Genomic DNA, 23,668 nt, shown 5'->3' with positions numbered 1-23,668 from the left:
ACAGAAAGGATTTCAGTGGTGGTGACGATAGAAGAGAGAGCAGTCTGGCAAAAGAAAAAAAAAGAACAAAGTGAAATATGTATGAAAAACAGCACAGTTCAGGGAAAGGGGCATTAATAATCTGTACTTTAATAAGCACTCTACATGATTCTGATGGAGGTAGACCTGAGGATCACCTTTGAAAACCAGTGACAAAGGGCAATGTCCAATGATGTGTATATTCTAGGGACTGAAAAAGAAAGATCAATGGCACAGGGTTCTTAAAAGCAGAAAAAGTCTGCTGGTAAAATGACAGGCCGAAAAGATTGGCAAAGGACAAAAAGATTAGTAAAATATTTATGGAAGGAATCAGTCCTCCCTAAACATTTTGAAATTTAAAATTAGTAATTCTTATTTTATGACTCTATTGTTAACTCTATTTAACTAACTGGTAATTATTTGGTACTAGGGATTAAAGATAAAATAACTTCTTACCTGACTAGCTTAAGAGGTTAAAACAGTTATTAGAATTTTGTCAGACTACCAAAAGGATGTGATAATGTTAAGTGCTAAGGATTCTGCTAATAATTTATTTTTATAGGATGTGAACCTCTCTGTATACAAGCTTGTAGTTTAATTAGACAGCCAAAACACTCACATATAACAAGTAATTGATAAGACAGCATATTATTAAATCCTCAGGCAAGTGGCATATGCTATAGCACTTTTGAGAAAATTTGTAACAGTGAGAATGGTTGAGAAAAGCATACAGGACTTAGGCTAACTAGTCCTGGATTAATGGGTTGTGTTCAAGCAAGTAAAGGAGAGATGGCAAAGCATTACAGGTGGGTGGCATGAAAAAGAAAGTTTTGCCTAGAATAGGGAGTGGAGCTTAGTTTGCACGGGACACTGAAAATGTGTCACTTTGCTGAAGCAAATGGTCAAATGTGCAGAAATAACAGGAACTGGGGTAGAGGATGAATAATCTGTAAATTTGAAACTGCACAGTATGAACTTTACTGGTATATAAGATTCTACAATTAAACAAATACATCATTATTTGCTAGCACACCAGGAGAGCTCTATCTATTACTATTCAACCCTTTCAAAAAAAAAGAAAAAAATTATTTTGCACTGCGATGGAGAGAGACTAAGAAAAACTCTAGAGATACTGATTCAGAAAATAATGCTGATAAGCCAATATGAAAGTACATTTACTAAAACCATACAACTGAATAATGGGAAATATGCATAGCTAAAGGGTTACAGGCATTGCTTATCAATTTGTATTTAAGAAATGTCATTATATCAAGTTTCTGGAAATCAAATTTCTATTTAGCAAGATATGTATACCCTAAATTTAGAAGGACACCTCCTATATAAGGATCAAATGAAATATATAAGGTGTAAAATCACATATATTAAGTACAGAGGATAGAACAAGATTACCCCTATTAAAAGGTAAGAAAACTTGGAAAGAAATAAAAAGTAAACTTTTCTAATGATAAAAACGAAAAAAGAAAATACGTGACCTGAGATATTTGTTTAAAAATACAAATTCCCAGGCTCCATCACAAATCACTGAATCAAAATTTTAGGGAGAGGGGGTCTAGGTATTTTATAAAAATAAACGCCTCAACAAAAGCTTATCAAGTTCGGGAAACACATGATATGACCAAATGTAAGATCTGAACACCAGTATATTTAATATTATATTTTTCAAATATAATTAAAAAACAATGAAGGTTGAAGGTAATGGGTGGGTCAAGAAAGAAACTGTATTAATGAAAATATAAGTTATTAATAAAGTTCCCATTGAAATCTAAAAGGACTTCCCATAATCCATAATACTAGCCACTGTATCTGAAATTCAGACTGATACTTGAACTGTCTGATGGGTTTACTGCAGTGGTGATGAATTTGAACTAGTGACCCCCAAACTCATCCTGTAGCACTTGTACCTAATGAGATTTGCTGATATATATAGTTCAATAATAGCTCATAAGAAATATAACTAGTCAGAGAATAAAGCTTTTGACCTTGACAAAATTACTATGCTTTACTTAAGGGAATTAACTAACCAGCCAGACCTAGCTATTAACTAAAAATTTTTCACATCCAGTAAAAATATTTTTGGCCAAGAGAACTAACAAATTATCTGACAGTCAAAAATTAAGTTCTGGATCTAGTTCAGACCTGAATCAGGTGACACTGTCAAACGTTTTAGATAAGAAAACATATTGAGAGTAATCTTTCATGTTTCTTGGAAATAAGTTATTTATTTAATAGTTGTTTTTTAATCACTTCAACTCCACTATGTTTTGGGGGAAGGCTATATTTGCATAAAATTTGAATCTTGCACTCATTTAGGTAATAGAATACACAGTACCCAGTCTCAAAATGCTTGAAATCTAGTGATAAAAGCATAAAATTGCAACAATAATTAAGCTGAGGCTGGCAAGGAGGTTTTTATACAGGGATCTTTACTACCCCAGAGGACTCTTTTATTCACCTCCACCTAATAACTACCGCATATGAAGCACTTGATATGTTAGCTCCCTTGAATACACTTAACCATTAGTGACCCCAAACAAAAACACTACAAATTTGGCCAGGCGTGGTGGTTCACGTCTGTAATCCTAGCACTTTGGGAGGCTGAGGCAGGCGGATCACTTAAGGTCAGGAGTTCGAGACCAGCCTGACCAACATGGTGAAACGCCATCTCTACTAAAAAATACAAAAATTAGCCGGGCGTGGTGGCGGGCGCCTGTAATCCCAGCTAGTCGGGAGGCTGAAGCAGGAGAGTCACTTGAACCCAAGAGGCAGTGGTTGCAGTGAGCTGAGATTGTGCCACTGCACTCTAGCCTGGGCGACAGAGAGAGATTCCTCAAAAACAAAACCAAATAAAAACTACAAACTTGGTGGAGCTCTGAGTTGATACCATTTTTCTCTGGAACATAACTATATTCCAAATTATGAAAACTCTGAATTTCAAATTCCTAAGTAGAATAGTTCCTCTAGTCCCAATTTACAGATGAGAAAACTGAGGCACCAAAGTCAGATACCTACTAAGTGACTAAGGAAAAATTCAAAACCAGGTCAGCCTGGTCAGGACTCAAAAGCCCAGATATATTCTTTTCCCATCCCATGTTGGATTTCAGAGATAAAACATCCAAATCATGACTATATGACGGTGGTGATTACAATTCATTTAGGCTTCTAATGGCTTCTAAGTCAAGGGTGAGCAAACTTTTTCTGTAAAGGGCCAGATTTTAAATATTGAGGCTTTGCAAGACAGATTGCTTTCTGCTGCAGGTACTCAATTCTGTCAGTTTAGCATAAAAGTAGACAATATGCAAATGAGTAAGAGTGGCTGTGTTTCAATAAAACTTTACCAAAAACAGACCTCAAACTGGATTTGGCCATCAGGCCATAGTTTCCCAAGCCCTGTCATAAGTCAGTGTCAGGTTTTAAATCATTCCTTTCAGGAACTATATTTTTATGCAAATTGGACACAAGAAGTAAAAAATGTAGGCTGCCAAATTTGGAAACGCTGGTTATTCAAATTTAGTAATTTGGACTTTATCATGCAGACATCATGATTCTTTCAACTCTAATGTTCCAGCAGTGTACTCTTAGGGGCTGCCAAGAGTAAATATAAAAAGCCAATAAAGGATTCCTGAAGGAGAAGAGGCTATGATTACAGTCATATTTTAACAAAATTTACCTGACAATGTTTAGAATGACTGTAAACAGTCAGGACTTCAGAAGGAAGGCAGAAAATTTAAAAAGCAGTAATAATTTCGTGTTTAATCAGTGCCAGACATTTTCAGCAAGAATTCCCTAATGTTCAATCATTGCCAGACATTTTCAGCAAGAATCATCTGGCGAGCTTAGAAATCCTAACCCCTAATCCAAGAATGCTAACAAAATAAATATCTGTGGTAGGGAACAGTAAGCTGTATGTTTAAAGAGTTTTCCAGGTGATTCTATGTAGAGCCGAATTTGGAAGCCACTGCAACAGTCCATGCTAAACATGATAAAGGTACAATCTAACTATTTTTAGCTACAGTATTTTGGAATTTTGTAGGTTCACTTTAGGTTGTCTCAATGTTTAGAGAAATGCTACTGGCATTTAATGGGCCAGGTCTGGAGATGAGAACTATCCTTGCATACTGTACAACCTTCAAATACCTACCAGATATATAACTAGGTGAAATACCTGTTTATAATTTTGAGCACCTAATTCCATTTTACACAAAAACTGCAATATTTTTGCACTATTCTTTAAGAGTTATTTGTTATTTCTGATGATCACTGATACTCATACTGATCTTGGTATCCGAGTCAAAAATATAACACGTCTATATCAGTTTGCACTTCTAACAATCACATTCATGAGGACATATGTACAAACTTTTGCTCTTCATTGCTTTCTGGTATTGTGCCTGAACACTTAAATACTGAAACATAAAATGTATAATAAATTCTTCATTTTTTTCTAATATCATTGTGCCTAAGCATTTACATAACATATAAAATGTACAATATTTTTCTTATATATCTCCTTTAAGAAATTACATAGATTTTTAAAAATAATGTAGGTTACTATCATTTTAAGAGTAAGGAAGTGTTACAGAATGTTGCATAAATGGGATATTAGGTCTGATGTACTTGAGAACAATTGGTTTAAACTACAAAGGTACTAGGAAAATATAGGAATAATTCTAGAAACAGAAAGCAGTTGGGGATGAACAGGAGTAGGGAGAAGGAAGGGATTCAGGGTAATGTCTGAGTAGCCGGCTTAAATCAGGTGGAGGCAGCATGATTATTCAAGACAGGGAACAAAAAAAAAAAGAAAATTAGTAAAATTTTGAACAAATTTATACTTAGATTCTAGTCTAGTCCACACTTGAAAATGTGATTTTAGAATAAAGGAGGGAGGTCTGGGCTAGAAATAAAGATACAGCTTTGGTGTCAACAGCAAAGGTTTCAGATGAGACTATCCACAAAACGCATGTAGAAGATGATACTGGTACTCTGGGGAAGATAAATATTTAGAAATGGATGGATGGGCCAAGTGCAGTGGCTCACGCCTGTAATCCTAGCATCTTGGGAGGCTGAGGCAGACGGATCAGGAGGTCAGGAGATTGAGACCATCCTGGCCAACATGGTGAAACCCCGTCTCTATTAAAAATACAAAAATTAGCTGGGCGTGGTGGTGCACACCTGTAGTCCCAGCTACTCAGGAGGCTGAGGCAGAAGAATCGCTTGAACTGGGAGACAGAGGTTGCAGTGAGCCAAGATCGCACCACTGCACTCCAGCCTGGCAACAGAGCAAGACTCCGTCTTAAAAAAAAAAAAAGAAAGAAAGAAATGGATGGAAGACAAAGGCCTCAAAGAGAAACAGAGGTACACATAAACTAGGAAAGGGTATTGTCAAAGCAGCAGCCAGTTCATCTATTTAAATTTTAGAAGGAAGGAGTAGTCAAAAATATGTAGCATACTGGCAGAAAACTTAGCCTTAGAGAAGACGGATCTTTTTTCCTTTCAATTAAAAAATGAGAATGGATTCAGCTACAGACAAGTTTGTTTGAAGGGAGGAGGAATAAGAGAGTTAAGTGGGATTATCATCTCCAGTTACATACAGAATCATATTTGTTTGGTGAAACAGAAGCAAATTAATCTGTTGAGAACATGAAAGGCAAAGTTTGCTAAGGGGTTGATGAAAGAAGTAAAAGGAATGTATGAGGACATAGACCAGAGATAAATAAAATTGCTGAGTCTGATAAATTTTGATATCATTAATTTGTCGTGGCATCAATCTCCAAAACTGTACTTGGCAATCTAAATTGTATTCCTAAATTAATTTAAAGTTGAGGGGATTCACAGGGCAAGTGTGGCAGAAAAATAAGGGACCAGACAGTACAGTTTGGGCTGGTAAGGAGAAAAAAGTGAACCTAATAAGCCATTAGTTTCTTAGATAATTAGAGGAAAAGGGAGTGATCAAGAAACTGGAAGAGTGAGTTGGAAATTGTGGGCTGGGGGGGGGGTATCTTCATGATTAAGAATCTGATGTTCTTCCTGCAGGAGAATTTACATTTATCCACAAACATATACATGCGGCATTATACACACCAGGTAAAAAACTATGTTAAGTCAAAGAGTCGGTATAACAGACGAGCATTAAAAAGCTAAAAAGATAGTAAATTATGGCAAAACAAAGCAATAAGCTTTCAATCACAACAGTCCTAAGACTTTGAGAAGTAAAGAAATGAGCTGATTTACTCAAGCACATATTGGAGTCACTGAGTTGCTGAAACTAGAATACAGAGCTACTGATATTCAGGGCACTATTCTAACCAATCTTGCTGACTACAATAACATATTTTATCTTGATGAACCATTTAAATGGTATGAAAGCATGGAACAATACTACAACCAAAGGTACCCATTTATGAATATTGCTATTTCCAAACTTAAATACAAAGATCAGCAAATTACAGGAAGAAAATATCTATTAAGTTAATGTTGCCTTAGGGCAAATGCCCAATAAAGAGCTTGTTTTCTTGATCTCTGAACAAAGCTCCAGGTTCACCAGAAAAGGTACCCTGATGTCTAATTCTGCAGGTCAGCTAGAACCTTTTCTTTCAATTAAAGAGGCTACAAATATAGCTAACTTTCTTACAAGAAGAAGCTACTTACGAGATATTTCACTGGCAATATATTAAAAGGAACATTAAACGGAATACTTTGTTATTTAAAAAAAAAAAGGATTTTTCCTAGGGCCCAATCATTTATTTTTTCTTTTATTTCTCATAAACATGAAAAACACAATGATTATATAAGGTAACAGAGGCAGACAATCTAAACCCAAGCAGATCAAGATAAATGTAAGATTTAAAACATTCATTTTATACAAGACTATCATTTTTTAACATGTAAGAAGAGTTTTCAAACTGGAAAAGTCTTAAACTTTTTATTCCACAATTTCAACATATTTTAGGACAAGGAGCACTGCTGTGAAAAACAAAGGTTTTTTAAAAAGCAGCAAAGTATCACAGGACATTAGGCAAAGCAGCAGAATTGCAAGCAGCTATATCCAAAGAAGCAGAGTGGTCTTAAGGTATGAAATGTAGTCAGGAGTTTGAGACCAGCTTGGCCAACATGGTGAAACCCAGTCTCTACTAATAATACCAAAAAAAATTACCCAGGTGTGCTGGCGCGCACCTGTAATCCCAGCTACTTGGGAGACTGAGCAGGAGAATCACTTGAACCCGGGAGGCGGAGGTTGCAGTGAGCCGAGACTCCAGCCACTCCAGGCAGAGTGCAGTGAGCGCCATTGCACTCCAGCCTGGGTGACAAGAGCGAAACTCCGTCTCAAAAAAAAAAAGACATGAAATGTAAAAAACCTGTTGGATCCACAGGAGTCATTTCAGGCAATTAGGCACATGCAGATACCAGAGGAAGCTATTACAGGTGACTCTGCAAAGTCTATAATTCTCTACATATGTTGGTGCATGTGCTACCCATACATAGCCATATATTTGGGTTGTGTGACCCATGTAATTAAAAAGCATATATTTAATAAGTTTCCATCACTTACAACTCTGTCATATCTTCCAATTTTGATGACAATGACCTTTAAATTATCTAAAATTATTTTATTTGCTTAATTGTTCCTTATGTCTTTATACCCTTCCTTCCTCCTAACTCTTCAACGAGAACAGGAACTTTGTTCAGTGTTGAATGAACATTGTAATATCAGAAAATAAAACATGTAATTAAGTCTCATATTTCAATTTCTACTCTAGGACAATGTACTTTAGTAAAAAAGAAATTATAATATTTTGGTTGAAACAAAAATTATAGAAAACAGAGCAATGACACAAAGTCACATTATGTATTTCTTGGTTAAAAGATTCTATTTTCCCCCTGAAGTTCCCTTTCACACTACAGGTTAACAGATGTCCCACACGTGATACCGCAAGTATGAATTTATTAAGTCAGCAGTTAATGAGTCTACACAAAACTCTGCATACAGAGACCTCAATAAATGTCTTTTAAACTGAACTGAGATAATCAATAGATTTCCCCCCCAATCTCACTAAAAACCTACCTCATTTGCATCAAACTTGATTTCCTTCCAAAATCAGATCTTTATCCCAAACTGCTCCATTTCAGTAAAAGACAACATTCAGTTAAGCAAGAAACTTAAGAAACTTAAGAGTTATTCCTATTCCTCCTTCCTTAATTTCCCATATCCAAACCTTTGGCAAACATGGTGGACTTTAGTCAAAATGAATCACAAATCGTCTACTCTCCACATTCATTGCCTTCACCGTACTCCAAGCTCTCATCGTCTCTCTCTTGAACTACCTTGTCTCCTACCTTGGCCTGCTGATTCCCACATACTTTAAATCCATTCTCCAAAAAGTGAACAAAGCACTTTTTATCCAAATAGTTCATATTACTCTCCTGCTCAAATTCTCTAACCGCCGTATGCAGCACAAAATGTTACAGAGGACTAGAAATGGCTAATTTTTCAAATATTAGGTAAAGAAAAGACATCTTAGAGTTGCCCCATTAAATCTCAAAATTAACATATTTTAGGAAAAGGTTTCCCTGCCTGTCTCTTCAACCTTACCTCTTACCAATCTCTCACTGGCTTACTATTCCCCAGTCACACTGCTCTTACTGTTCCTTGAAAACATCAATTTCTTTCCTACCTCAAGCCCTTGTCTGTGTTTCCTCTGCCTGGAATGTTCTTCCTCAGTCTTCACATGGCTGACTCTTTATAATATTTAGGACTCACCTCAAGCTTCACCCCTTAAATAAAGCCTTCTCTGACCATCTATCCTGTTTTATTTTCTTCATAACATTTATTAGTATATGAAATTACTTTACTCTTTTATGTTTATTTGCTTATGATACATCCCATTTCCCTGCAAGAATGTAAGCTCTGTAAGACTTCCTTCCATAAGATAAGGGACCTTGTCTGTCTTGTTCACAAATATACTGTTAGCATCTTTATCAGTTCCTGTTTTATAGTAGTTAAGACCCATATTAAAATAACAAAACATTTAAACTTTAATTTCAAAGGCACTTTTAATTTCAAAGTGACTTGAGAATCTGCTGCAAAGAAGCTAGCTGATACTACCCCTTTATTTTGATGCTAACATAAACATTTATCATATAACTAGGTAGTGAATGAGATGATTCTAGATGACCAAGTCTTCTGATTCCATAGTCAATATACTCCTGCCACCCTAACCAAGCTGCCTCTCTCATGTTAAAAAATGTATAATCAGAAAATAAAACATGTAATTAATTCAAATATTTCAATTTCTATTCTAGGACAATATCTTTTAGTAAAAAAGAAATTAAATTTGTAATATTTAATATTAATATAAGTAAATATTTTAACAGTATATACTGTGAACACTAAATTGGAATATAAACATTAATAAATTATACACAAAAACAATGGACTTATTTTTCCTTAAAAAGAGGCAAACAGTAGCTTTTCCTGAATACAAATTATTTAGAATAAAAATGTAATTTTTCAACAAATTTTTGGTCAACAAAAACTAAATCAGTGCTTATAGACAACCCAAATTAGAAAATAAAATAAACCAAGATAGATGACTTCACTTAGGTTAAATATATTAAAAAGTAATAATTATATATAATTAAAAATTTTCCTTTTTATACTATAGAAGAGGTATCACCAGATATCCATTTTTAAAGTATATTTCCTTTTCTATTCCCCCCAATCCACCAAATATGTGGCATAAGATGGTAGGTTTAAATATATATACACATCAAACCTATCAAAATATATATATATATATACACGTGTGTGTGTGTGTATATATATATCTCTCTCTCAAAGATTTACTGTAACTACGCACAAGTTATACAATCCATCAATTGTGCTCCTTGGTATTACCCAATGAGATGAAAACTATGTTCACAGAAAAACTTGTACACAGATGTTTATGGCAGCTTTATAATTGCCCAAACTTAGAGGCAACCAAGATGTCTTTCAATGGGTGAATGAATAAACTGTGGTACATCATAAAATACAATATTAATCAGCGCTAAAATGAAATAAGCTATCAAGCCACAAAAAGACACAAAAGAATTTTAAATGCACATTTCTAAATGAAAGAAGCCAATCTGCAGAGGCTACATACTGTATGAATCCAACTATGAGACTTTCTGGCAAAGATAAAACCAGGGAGAGAATAAAAAGATCAGTGATTCTGATCATTAGAGAAATGCAAATCAAAACTACAATGAGACACCATCTCACGCCAGTCAGAATGGTGATTATTAAAAAGTAAGGAAACAACAGACTCTGGCCAGGCTGTGGAGAAACAGGAACACGTTTAAACTGCTGGTGGGAATGTAAATTAGTTCAACCATTGGGGAAGACAGTGTGGCGATTCCTCAAGGATCTAGAACCAGAAATACCATTTGACCCAGCAATCCCATTACTGGGTATATAGCCAAAGGAGTATAAATCATTCTAATATAAAGACACATGCACACATATGTTTACTGCAGCACTATTTACAATAGCAAAGACATGGAACCAACCCAAATGCCCATCCATCAATGACAAATTGGATAAACAAATGTGGTACATATATACCATGGAATACTATGCAGTCACAAAAAAAGAATGAGCTCATGTCCTTTGCAGGAACATGGATGAAGCTGGAAGCCATCATCTTCAACAAACTAACACAGGCACAAAAAACCAAACATTGCATGTTCTCACTCATAAGTGGGAATTGAACAATGAGAACCCATGGACACGGAGGGGAACAACACACACCAGGGCCTTTTGCGAGGTGCGGGGCAAGGGGAGGGAGGGCATTAAGACAAACACCTAATGCAGCCAGGGCTCAAAACCTAGACGACAGGTTGATCGATGCAGCAAACCATGATGGCACATGTATACCCATGTAACAAACCTTCACATTCTGCACATGTATCCTGGAACTTAAAGTAAACTTAAAAAAAAAAAATCAGTTATTGCTAGGGGTTGGGGGAGTGAGGGATGAATAGGTGGAACACAGGAATTTTCAGGGCAGTAAAGCAATTCCCTATGATACTATAGTGATAGTTATATGTCATTACACATTTGTCAAAATCCATTGAACCTACAACAGTAAAAACCCTAATGTAAACTATGCACTTTCTGTGATAATATGTTAATGCAAGTTCATCAATAATAATGAATGTGCTTACTCTGATGCAAGATGGTGGTGGCAGGGAAGACTTCGCTTGTAGGGTGGAAAAGGGAATATACGGGAACTCTGTACTTCCAACTCAATTTTGCTATGAACCTAAAATTTATCTAAAAGTGAAGACTATATTTTAAAAATTTAACTGGAAAAAATCACTTAAATTACTGCTTTATTAAAAGCTGAAAAAAACAAAACGTAAAAAGGCAAAAAATTAAGGTTAACTAGTGTGAAAGAGGGCAATATTTAAGAGAAACTAGTAGTTTCATTGTCTGTAACAATCTACAGATGACCTCTTAAGTCTGTCCTAAATCAAAAATAAAAACAGCCCTGTGCCTGTAAGTTTTAATCAATTGAAAAGACATTATTAGGCCAGGCGTGGTGGCTCACACCTGTAATCCCAGTAATTTAAGAGCCTGAGGCGGGCGGATCACTTGAGGTCAGGAGTTCAAGACCAGCTTGGCCAACATGGTGAAATCCCACCTCTACCAAAAATACAGAAAAATTGGCCAGACATGGCTATAATCCTAGTTACCTGGGAGGCTGAGGTGGGAGGATCGCTTGAACCTGGGAGGCAGAGGTTGCAGTGGGCCAAGATCAGATCATGTCACCAATATCAGGATTTCCTAGATTTGAAGGCTGAACGTCACATTTTCTGTGTGTATTCTTCCATCAATGAAGACATAGGTTGATTTCATATCTTGGTTATTGTAAACAATGCTGCAATGAACATGGGAACGTAGACATTTCACAATATAATAATTTCATTTCCTCTAGATACGTACCAAGAAGTCAAAGAAATGAGATTGATGGATCATATATGGTAGTTCTCTTTTTAATTTTTTTATGAAACTCCATACTATTTTTCAGTACATGGCTGTACCAATTTACAACAGTGTAAAAGAGTTCTATTCTCTCTATATCCCCACCAACACTTACAGTCTTATTATCGTCTTTTGGATAATAGGTATGAGGTGACATCTAACAGGTGTGAGGTGACATCTCATTGTGGTTTTTATTTGCATTTCCCTGATGATTAATGACGTTGAGCATTTTTTCACATACCTGATGTACACTGTATGTTGTCTTTTGAAGACCATCAATGCAAGTCCTTTGTTCATCTTAAAAACTTGGGTTGTTTTTGTATCATTGAGTTCTTAAATATATTTTGGATATTAAGCCTTTATTAAATGTATGGTTTGCAAATATTTTCTCCTATTCTGTCAATTATTGTTCACTCTGTTGATCATTTCCTTTGCTGTGCCGAAGCTTATTCAGTTGATGCAATACCATTTCTCTATTTTCGCTTTTATTCCTTATGCTTTTGGGGTCATATCCAAAAAATCATTGCCCCAACCAATGTCAAGAAACTTTTCCCTTTGTTTTCTTCTGGTAATTTTACAGTTTTCGCTCTTTAAGTCTTTAATCTATTTTGAGTTGATTTTTGTACATGGTGTAATTATTTTCATGTTTTTATATATAGTACAGGAATGAAATTTTTATGCTCATGCTTCTGCATATGGATATTCAGTTTTTCCAACACCATTTATTGAAGAAACGATCACTTCTCCATTCTGTGTTCTTAACATCTTTGTTAAAGATCAACTGATTGTACACATGGTATAAGCTTTCTGTTCTGTTCTGCTGGTCTTTATCTCTGGTTTTATGCCAGTACCACACTGTTTGGATTACTAGGTTTGTAGTATATTTTGAACAATTATGGAGGCATCGGGTAGTATGATGCTTCCAGAATTGTTCTTGCTATGGCTGCTTGGAGTCTTTTGTGGTTACATACAAATTTTAGGATTGCTTTTCCTATTTCTGTGTAAAATATCATTGGAATTTTGATAGCTGTTGTATCAAATATATAGATTGCTTTGGGTAGTATGGACATTTTAATAATATTAATTCTTCAAATTCAAAAACAGGATATCTTTCCATTTATGTGTCTTCTTCAATTTCTTTCATCAATGTTTTATCGATTTCTGTGTAGATCATTCACCTCCTTTGTTAAATTTATTCCTTTTTATTTTTATGCTACTGTACAGGGGATTGTTTTCTTAACTTCTTATTCATTGTTAGTTTATGGAAACACAACTGGTTTTTGTAAGCTAATTTTATATTTTGCAACTTTACTGAATTCATTTATTAATTCTAACATTTTTGGCGGAGTCCTTAGGGTTTCCTACATATAAGATCATGTTATCTACAGAAAGACAATTTTACTTTTTCCTTATTGATTTCCACATCTTTTATCTCTTTTTCAGGTCTAACTGCTTTGATTCAGATGTACAGTACTTTATAAACTAGAAGTGATGAGAGAAGAAATCCTTGTCTTCTTCCTGATCTTAAGAGGACAAGCTTCCAGCTACCTGAGGGCTTATATAATCTTTATGGTGTTGAGATACGTACCTTCTATCCCTAATTTGTTGAGTTTTTATCACAAAGTGATAATCTTGTCAAATGTTTTTTCTGTATCTATTGAGAGATCACACAATTTCTGTCCTTCATTCTGTTAATGTGTTGTATCATTTATTGGTTCTTGCATATGCTGAACCATCCTTGCATCCCTGGGATAAATCCCACTTGCTCACTGTGTGTGAACCTTTTAATGTGTTGCTGAATTCAGTTTAGTAGTATTTTGTTGAGGATTTCTGCGTCTACGTTAATCAGAGATACTGACCTGTATTTTTTTTTTCTTTTAGTGTCCTTGTTTGGCTTTGGTATCACAGCAACACCAGACTTGTAAAATGAGTTTGGAAGTATTCCCTCCTCTAAGGTTTTGGAAGAGTTTTAGGACTTGTGCTATGTCTTCTTTAAAGGTTTGTTGGAATTCACCAGTGGAGCCTTCAGGTCCAAAGCTTTTCTTTTTTGGGAGGTTCTTGATTACTGATTCAGTCTCCTTACAGTCACTGGGTGTGATTGGATTTTCTCTTTCTTCATGATTGGTAGACGCTATGCTTCTAGAAAAAAATTTCTATTTCTTCTAGGCTATCCATCTGTTTGTGTATAGTTATTCATTGTAGTCTCTTATTATCTCATTTGTATTTCTGTTGTATCAGCTGTAATGGCTTCTCTTTCATTTGTAATTTTAATTGAGTCCTTTTTTTGCATAGTCTAGCTAAAGATTTGTCAGTTCAGTTTCTTTTCACAAAACCAACTCTTAGTTTCATTATCTCTTCTACAGTTGTTCTAGTCCCTATTTCATTTATTTCTGCTCTGATCTTTATTATTCCTTTCCTTCTAACAACTTTATGTCTGGTTTGGATTCTAGTACAAGGTTTCCAATCTTTTGGCTTCTTTGGGCCACAATGGAAGAAGGATTGTCTTGGGCCACAAGTAATTTACACTAACACTAACGCCAGCTGATGAGCTGGGAAAAAAAAAATGCAAAAAATCTCTCATAATGTTTTAAGAAACTTAGAAAGTTTACAAGTCTGTATTGGGTCACATTCAAAGCCATCCTGGGCTGCATGTGGCCCACAGGTTGGACAAGCTTTTTCTAGTCCTTTGAGATACAAAGTAAGGTTGTTCATTTGATTATCTTCTTTTTTCCTTAATGTAAGCATTTATCACCATAAAATTCCCTCTTAAAACTGCTTTTGCTGCTTCACGTAAGTTTTGCTATGTTGTGTTTCCACTGTCTTTTGTCTCGAGACACCTTTTCAAATGTCCCTTTTTTCTTTGATCCACTGGTTGTTCAGGAATGTGTTAATTTCCACATATTTGTAAATTTTCCAGTTTTCCTCCTGGTGTTATTGATTTCTAGTTTCATACTCTTATGCTTACAAAAAATACTTGATACAATTTCAATCTTCTCAAATTTCTTAACACTTGTTTTATGACCTAATGTGTCTTAAAGAATGTTCAATGTGCACTTAAAAAGAGTGTATATTCTGCTACTGTTCAATGGAATGCTCTGTATATGCCTGTTACGTCCATTTGGCCTAAAATGTTGTTCAAGTCTGTTATTTCTTTATTGATTTTCTGTCTGGCTAATCTATCTATTGCTAAAGCAGAGGTACAAAAGTCCCTATTATTATATTACTATCTATTGTTCCTATCATTTCTGTTAAGATTTTAGAATCTTGGCTTTCTCATTATAAAAAATATTTTGGTGCTCTGATGTTGAGTGTATATATATTTACAACTATTATATCTTCTGGATGAACTGCCTTCTTTATCATTGTATAATGACTTTGTCTCTTATGACAGTTTTTGACTTGAAGTCTATTTTATCTTACATAAATATAGCCACCCCATTCTCTTCTGGTTACCATTTGCGTGAAATATCTTTTTCCATTTCTTCATTTTCAGCCTATGTGTGTCCTTAATGCTAAAATGAATCTCTTTTAGGCATAATACTGTAGGATCTTTTGAAAAATATATTTTAAAAAACTCTGCCTTTTGATTAGAGAACTTAATCCATTTACATTAAAAGTAATTGTGGATAAAGTCTTAACATTGTCATTTTGTTGTTTTCTGACTATCTTGTAGCTCCTCTATTTCTTTCATCTTCTCTTAATGTTTTCCTTTGCGATTTGATTTTTTTTTTTTTTTTGGTACTTATTTGCTTTCTCTTTATCTTTTGTGTATTTACAGGGGTTTTTCTCCACGAAATGTATATAAGACATCTTGTAGTTATAATAGTCTGTTGTTAAGCTGATAAAAATTTAATTTCAATCACATACAAAAACTCTTAACTTCTCCACACCCTCTCCAAGTTTACATTATTGAGGACACAACTTATATCTTTTTAGATTATATATTTATCAACAAATTATCATAGCTAAAGCTTTATTTTGTTCCTTTGATGGTGTCACGTTTCCCTGATCATTTGAGATCCTTATGGACTTGCACTGGTGTCTGCATATTTGAAGAAGTAGTCACCTCTCCAGTCTTTACAGAGGAGCTTTAACATAGGAAGCCCTTTACCAGTCAGCCTGTCCAGAGATTCCGGACAGCATGGCTGGCATAGTCCACGAGCAGGCTTGCTGCCTGACTTCTCCAGCAGGCTAGCCTCAGTTACTGGATCCGCAAGGATGGGTCTGGAGACTGGTTCTGTGGGATCTGGCCTGGTGCCTGGGTCCATGGGTGCCAGCCTGGCACTGGGGTTCACTGAGGTGGTTCTAGTGCTGGGGTTCACAGTAAAGTTAGGGGCTCACTTGACTCTCCTTCCTCCACTTGGAGGGCATCTATCTCCATACTGTGCTGCACAGGCTTGGGAAGGGGTGAAACAATTAATGTGCAACTGTAGTTCCTATCCTCTTCAATGCATCATTTGTTGTATCTATGCTACACCCGGGTGCTACAATCTATCATTTGGAATCCTTAGCTCTTGTGAAGGTATTTTTGTCTATGAGTGGTTATTCGAAATGCTTCTGTGAAGAAACAAATGCTGAAAACTACTATTCTGACATTTTACTAACATCACTCTTCCTATTTAACTTTTAAATATGATGAAGTCACTCCCTTGCTTAAAAAATCTGATGCCATCCCATCTTTCAAAATAAAAGGCAAGCCCTTACCTCCAACCTCCAAGACTCCACATGATCTAGCCCCTACACTTGTCTAGCTTTTCTCCAACTCTCCCCGCTAGGTACTTGCATTCCATTCATATTAATCTTGCTTTTCTTTGAATGCAGATCTACATGCTCACACATGAAGTCTTTGTTCTAGCTATTCCATCTGCATAGATACAGCCCTTTCTCTCAAATATCCACATTGTTTGTTCCCTGCTCAAATATCTCATTCTTGATCTACATATAAAAGAGAAATGTCTTCCTATTCTTTTTACCCTGCTTTATTTTTCTTCACAACATTTACTACCTCATAAAATATATTTACTTATTTATTTTGTCTATCATCTCCCTCTCCTCTATGAATGTGAAAACTGTGAAAGCAGGGGCTTCTGACTATTTGGTTTGCAGCTGTATATTCAGAGCCTAGAACCTGGCCAATACTAGATGCCCAAGAAATGGTTACTACATGAATAAAACAACAAATTAATGTATCTAGACATAATTTTTTAGAATAAATTTCTTCTTTAAGAAATATAAATGATCAGCTTCAAAATATGTTATCTCAGTAAAACTAAAATGAAAAATAAAGAAGGCATGGTATAGAATTGTCATTCCCATACCCATCAGAAGTTACCACTACAATAATAAGATATCAAGGATTTCACTGAGTGATATCATGATTATACTATTCAAACTGAAGGGATTTTTATTTGATTAAAAAAATCCTACTCAGGGCCTGAGTAGGATGAAAAGGACAATCCCACAAAGATGCAGTTCTGTGTAGGGTATCAGTTAGAACAGGAAGAGATGAACACTGACATATGATGGTAACCCACAAGATGTTTAAGAGGCCAATTGGGATAGGGTGGGTATGCTCATAGGAAGATAGCTCAACACAGAGAATCAGAACCTGATTGGGGGTGAGAAGAACATCCACAGGTAGTGATGAACCAGGGTGTGATACTGGAGTCTATGAGAGTGAGGAAGATTTCTACATAATAGGCTTGATTGATGGTTAAGGAGGAGGCTGCGCAACATGAACAGTTAAGATTTCAAGCAAGGTGAAAAGGTATTCACACACAGGGTAAGCCTAGCATGGAGAGTCAGAGTCTGAGTGGGGTTGGGGTGGAGATAGGGAGAGTCAAACATGGAGGTCTGTCAGTGTGGGATGGCAAAGCCCAAGTGGAGGCGACATCACAGAAAACAGCAGAGTAAGCATCTCTAAAAACTGTCTCTTCCACAAAAGCACAAAGAAAACTGGAAAATAGAATCAACTTTATCAGAACTCTAAAAATTAATAAAAAGCTTGCATCCAAGTTGCATTTATTTTTAAAAAGCTCAATCTCATTAAGAATGATGAGCTTTCTATTTTAACTTGCCCTAGTCCCATCCCTTGCTCTCCAGATCCACAGTAGTCTTGAAGAAACGACAGCTCACATTCCCAGTGCACTCTAGAAGCTACGTTAAAAAGCAGCAAGAGTTGTAGCTCATTCAAAGCTTCATTCTCCCCAAATTATTGCTTGAGCAGTCTTGTTTCCAGGAAGACCCTATTTGCAATGCTGACCGTATGTGACCTGACTCAGAGCTTGCACAATGCAAAACGCCTTTTCCCCAGGGAGATATTCATTGAAAAAAATTACAGGAAAGTGTTTTATACCATATCTACTTGAGGCAGTGAATAACAGTTGGAGCAACAGACTTAAATCTTAAAAGGAAAAGCTGAGAATGAAATACCCGTAACAGACTTTGAAAAGCTCTGACATATTACTGGGAATCTAGAAGGTCATACACATGCCTAAGGCTGTGTACATGCTCAAGGAAGACCTGAAAAGGGCCTAAGCTTTGAAGCTCTGCACAAGCAGGACATAAGGACAAGGCAGAGTTGCCAACTACCCAGCTGAGTGTTGAAGGCATGCCCCAAGACACACACACACAAAATCCTCTGGCAAAGACTAGGAGATTTACTGGTTCCAGGCATGTAAAGAAATCTTTGTCCAGTCATTAGCAACAACTAAGCTAACCAACTAGAGACTGAATTATCTACTGAGGTAGTCACACACATCAAATAGAGTTTGCAGAATTAATTCACAAAAGAAATTAAATGAAGAAACAACTACAAGTACTCCAACAAACCCTGAAGAGAGGGCAAAATGTGATTTTCATAGTTGTCAAATTATTTTATTATAAGTCTCCACTATTTGGACATTTTTATATTATTTAGAATGTCCACATTATTTCAAAGATCATTTATTATTTAAAATGTCCAAATGTAATTTTCAACAAAAAATTATAAGATATGCAAAGAAACAAGAAAATATGAACCATACACAGGAAGAAAAGCAAATAACAGAAACTGTCCCTGAGGAAATCCAGATATTGGACTTATTAAACACTTCTAAGTCAGCTTTTTTTTTTTTTTTTGGCTCAAAGATACATACTTTTCATTTGTGATCTGGATTATCTTCATTTTCCACTGTGGGCAGAAGGAGCACACATAAAGGTAGAATCCATAAATTTTCACTGGATAATGGTAAAATGGTAAGAGGGCCTGGATAAGTACCAACTTCAAAATAAAAAGCAGAAAACAGTATCACAACAGAATATCCTAAGAATGGAGATAACAATATACTATGGAACAAGGAGCTTATGAACTTTGTAACATGTCACATTTCAGATTTCATAATAAATTTTCCAAGGTATGTTTTTGTCATTCTCAGTTTTTCTGTAATAACAAAAAAGCAGGGAGATAATAGGCAGGTCTTCCTTTGAGACGAGCAAGAAAGAGGAGACTGGTGAGATCAAATCCAATCCACAGCCACTTGGGGCAAAGTTGGGGCAAAAGACGATCTGAAATGATAATATGTGGAAGAAGTGTGCTAAAAGAGTTGGTTGAAAGATTCTGGGTTGCCAAGAAGAAAAGGAGAATGCAGACTGTTAAAACTGATCCATAGAAGGCCAATGTGACTTTCCGTGACCAGAATGCTTAATTCCATTCCTACTGCCTCAAGATTAACTTCCTTGTTTAGATATAAGAAAATAGGTTCTCAATTTGACAAACACAAGTTACTCACTTAATATTTAACATGGTGAGACTACTTTTTGTTCTCTAGTGAGTTAGCAAGGTTTCAGTGTTCCAGCAGGACAACTCAGCCATTTATTATTGATCACGCCCTGGAGTTGAAGACACAGGCTCACAGAAGGTCATGATAGCCCATGTTCACTTAGGTAAAAGTTGTAAATGAAAATTTAATATCAAATCTCCTGTAAGTTAGCTATTTTTAAAATGTTCAATGAACTAAAGGAAAACATGCCTGTAGAACTAAAGGAAGGTATAAGGACAATGTCTCACCAAATAGGGAATATCAATACAGAGATATAAGTTGTTTTTAAAAGAACCAAATAACCTGGAGTTGAAAGTGCAATCATGGAAATGCAAACCTCACTAGAAGGGTTCAACAGCAGATATGAGCAGGAAGAAGAAAGAATCAGCAAAGTTGAAGATAGGTCAATTTATATTATCCAGTATGAGGAACAGAAAAAAAAAAAAAGAATAAAGAAAAAGAAACGGAGCCTCAGAGACCTGTGGAATATCATGAAGTGAACTAACATACTCATAATGGGAGTCCCAGAAGGAAAGAAGGAAAAGAAATAATGGTTGAAAACATCTCAATTCTGAAGAAAAGCATCAATCTATACATCTAAGAAGCTTAACAAACTCCGAGGAAGATAAATTCAAAGAGAATCCACATGAAGGCAGATGATTATCAAACTGCTGACAGACAGAAAGAATTCTTCATCTTAGAAAACTGAGGATGAAAAAACTCAAAACAAAGGCAACAAGAGATGTGACTCATCATGTACAAGAGATACTAAGTATTAACATTTAATTTCTCATCAGAAAATATAGAGGCCAGAAGGCAGTGGGAGGACATACTCAAAGTTCTAAAAGAATTTTTTTAAACTGTCTAACAAGAATTCTATATCCATAAAAACTATCCTTCAAAAATGAAGGTAAAATGAAAGCATTACCAGAAGAATTCATTGCTAACAGACCTGCCCTATTAGAAATAAAGTGAGTACTTTGGGTTGAAATGGAAGGACACTAGAAAGTAATTCAAATATACATGAAAGAGTCCGAGTAGACCAAGAGGATGTTATTACAGAGAGGTAGCCTGGTATGGATTATCAAAACCTGAGCCAGTTGAGGAGAACGTGCGGCTCTTCAGTCTCTAGTATTTGGCAGACATTTTCTTGAAAATAAAGGAAATGAGCCTGTTAATTCAAAAACAAATGAGCTGGGTACAGTGGCTCATGCCTATAATCCTAGCACCTTGTGGGGCTGAGGCGGGAGACTTGCTTGAGCTCAGGAGTTAGAGGCTGTAGTGAGCTACGACTGAGCCACTACACTCCAGTCTAGGCAACAGAGCAAGACCCTGTCTCAAAAACAAAAACAAAAACAAAATAACAGAATATTTGTTGCCAGTGATAAAGTTAGACCCTAAATAAAAATTAGAACTTTAGAAAGCATGCATTCACCACCATGAACTTTAAAGCAACCCAATATTTAAAGACCTTCCTGACGAAATCAGTGGAATTATTAACAAATGTCTTTATTTAATACTGTATGATAAAATGTGTCAACATTTAGAAAATCTGCGTAACTCAAAGAGCCAGAAGACCAATGTATGATGAATCAAAATCACACGTGGGTAAAGAACCCTTCAAAGTACAAAACAAACGAATGAATTTTGTCTTAGCAGAGAATGAAAAATTCTTTGGATGGTGCTGAACAACTGGATATCCATAAGCTAAAACAAAAACAAAAAATTACCTTAATCTAAATTTCACAGTGTATATAAAATTAATTCAACTAATCCAAAATTTAAGTTAATTCAAAATCATGGTTTTAAATGTAAAATGTAAACCTATAAAATTCTGAGAAGAAAACATACAAGAAAGTCTTCAAATACTAGTAATTCGTAGGCAAAAAAAAATTTTTTTTCATAAAAGAAAAGAATCAATACACTGCACTTCATCGAAATTAAAAAGTTTTGCCCCACAAATGATCCTGTTAAGAGAATGAAAAAAACAGGTTATATAGACTGGTAGAAAATATTTGCAAACCATGTATTCGACAAAAGTCTTACATTTAAACATAAAAAGAACTCTCAAAACTCAACATTACGCCAGGCACAGTGGCTCATGCCTCACTTTGGGAGGCTGAGGCAGGTGGATCACTTGAGGCCAGGAGTTCGAGACTGGCCTGGCCAACATGGCGAAACCCTGTCTCTACTAAAAATACAAAAATTAGCCAGGCATGGTGGCACATACCTGTAATCCCAGCTACCCGGGAGGCTGAGGCACCAGAATCACTTGAGTCTGGGAGGCGGAGGTTGCAGTGAGCCAAGATCGCGCCACTACACTCCAGCCTGGGCAACAGAGGAAAATGCAAAACAAACAAACAAAAACTCAACATTAATAAAAGAAATAATACAAGCAGAAAATGGGCAAAGACTCAGGCAGACATTTCACGGAAGAAGAGATACAGAAAACAAGTATGTTCAAATAAGATGTTCAGTATCATTAATCAATAGGAAAATGCAAATTAAAATCACAATGACAGATCACTACACACCTATCACAACTTAGAAAAAAAAAGTGAGAGATGGGGAGAGAGAAATAATGTAAATACCAACTATTTTAAAAATTAGTTGGGTATGGTGGCATGTACCTGTTGTCTCAGCTACTTGGGAGGCCGAGGTGGAAGGACTGCTTGAGCGCAGGACATGGAGGTTGCAGTGAGTAGAGATTGTGCTAACTGCACTCCAGCCTGGGCAACAGAGCTAGACCCTGTCACAAAAAAAAAAAAAAAAAAAAAAAAAAAAAAAAAAAAAACCCACCACAAATACCACTATTTTGTCTTTCCTCAAGAAAGACAAATGTGTGTGGTCAATCTATAGAAAGAGTGTGTGAATCATTTTTCAACATATCCAAACATTCTAAAAAACGTATACCAATTATCCAAGTGGCCAGGTTGAGTGGATGGTGACAGTTCCTCAATTTGTTAAAGAAAAAATCTAAATTAAAGACAACAGAAAACCATTAAATAACTAAGAGAGGAACTGATAAAATCATCACAGTAAATAAAGATGACAATAAACAGAATCAGTAAATTGAAATGTTCATAAACATGCTGCAATACCTAAGAAGCACCTGAATAATTTGTTAATATAAGCTCTATATAAAATTGTATAACTATAAATAATTGAATTTACATACATGATACATGCAAAATCACATTATACTTTGAACATTTAGAGGACTTTGAATGGACATTTTTAATATACACTATTTTCACGTATATGCTGACTTTTGAACCTAACCCTAAAGATGTGCCTTCTTCCTAATATGATTCATTTCTTTTCTAAGAGAAATATAAAGGTATGTGAGAGTTACGCATCTCTGAAAGAGGCACAGAAGAAGAAATAGAAGAACATACACCACAATTAATGTAAAGATTAGACACATAAACCCCAAGAAACTATGATGAAACAAGATTAGGAAAGGCAGCATTGCTTTCTAGTATTGGGAAACTGAGTAAAATGAGTGGCCAACAAAATACACAAAATCCACATGTCTATCTCAAAAAAAAATTTTTCTCCTATCATTTCAGTCCTGATTCTACAGATGGCACTAATAACTTTTATCATTCTGCTATTTAAAAGAGAAATTTCTTCCAATAATACATTATGTCTAAATGCATAATTCATATAACCAAGAGGCCAATTATTTTCAACAGAATGGTATCTTCTGAAAAGTATGTTAAAAAGAATATATTCTATAAATTTTAATTCAGCACCTTAGAGATTAACTTCATAGTCATTTAAGTCCACTTTTCCATTAATAGTA

General features: G+C 35.5%; 1 protein-coding gene across 13 annotated transcripts in view; it reads right to left on the bottom strand.

Moving 5' to 3' along the window:
• SHOC2 (SHOC2 leucine rich repeat scaffold protein) overlaps positions 1-23,668 on the bottom strand; it is a 94,296-nt gene that overhangs the window by 50,101 nt on the left and 20,527 nt on the right. For 2 of the 13 annotated variants that reach the window (NM_001324337.2, NM_001441186.1), the window contains exon 2: positions 11,773-11,957. The exons of 9 other annotated variants lie outside the window; for them this stretch is intronic. The gene's annotated coding sequence lies outside the window, so the exon portion shown is untranslated. Of the gene's footprint in view, positions 1-11,772; positions 11,958-22,090; positions 22,189-23,668 lie in introns of all 13 variants that reach the window. 2 more of the 13 variants (NM_001441185.1, NM_001441184.1) reach the window with 2 other exon arrangements.

This window comes from Homo sapiens, chromosome 10 (genome assembly GCF_000001405.40).
Source record: "Homo sapiens chromosome 10, GRCh38.p14 Primary Assembly".
NCBI lineage: Eukaryota > Metazoa > Chordata > Mammalia > Primates > Hominidae > Homo > Homo sapiens.
The sequence above is the reverse complement of the archived record's forward strand: the minus strand, read 5'-3'. Positions and strand labels throughout refer to the sequence as shown.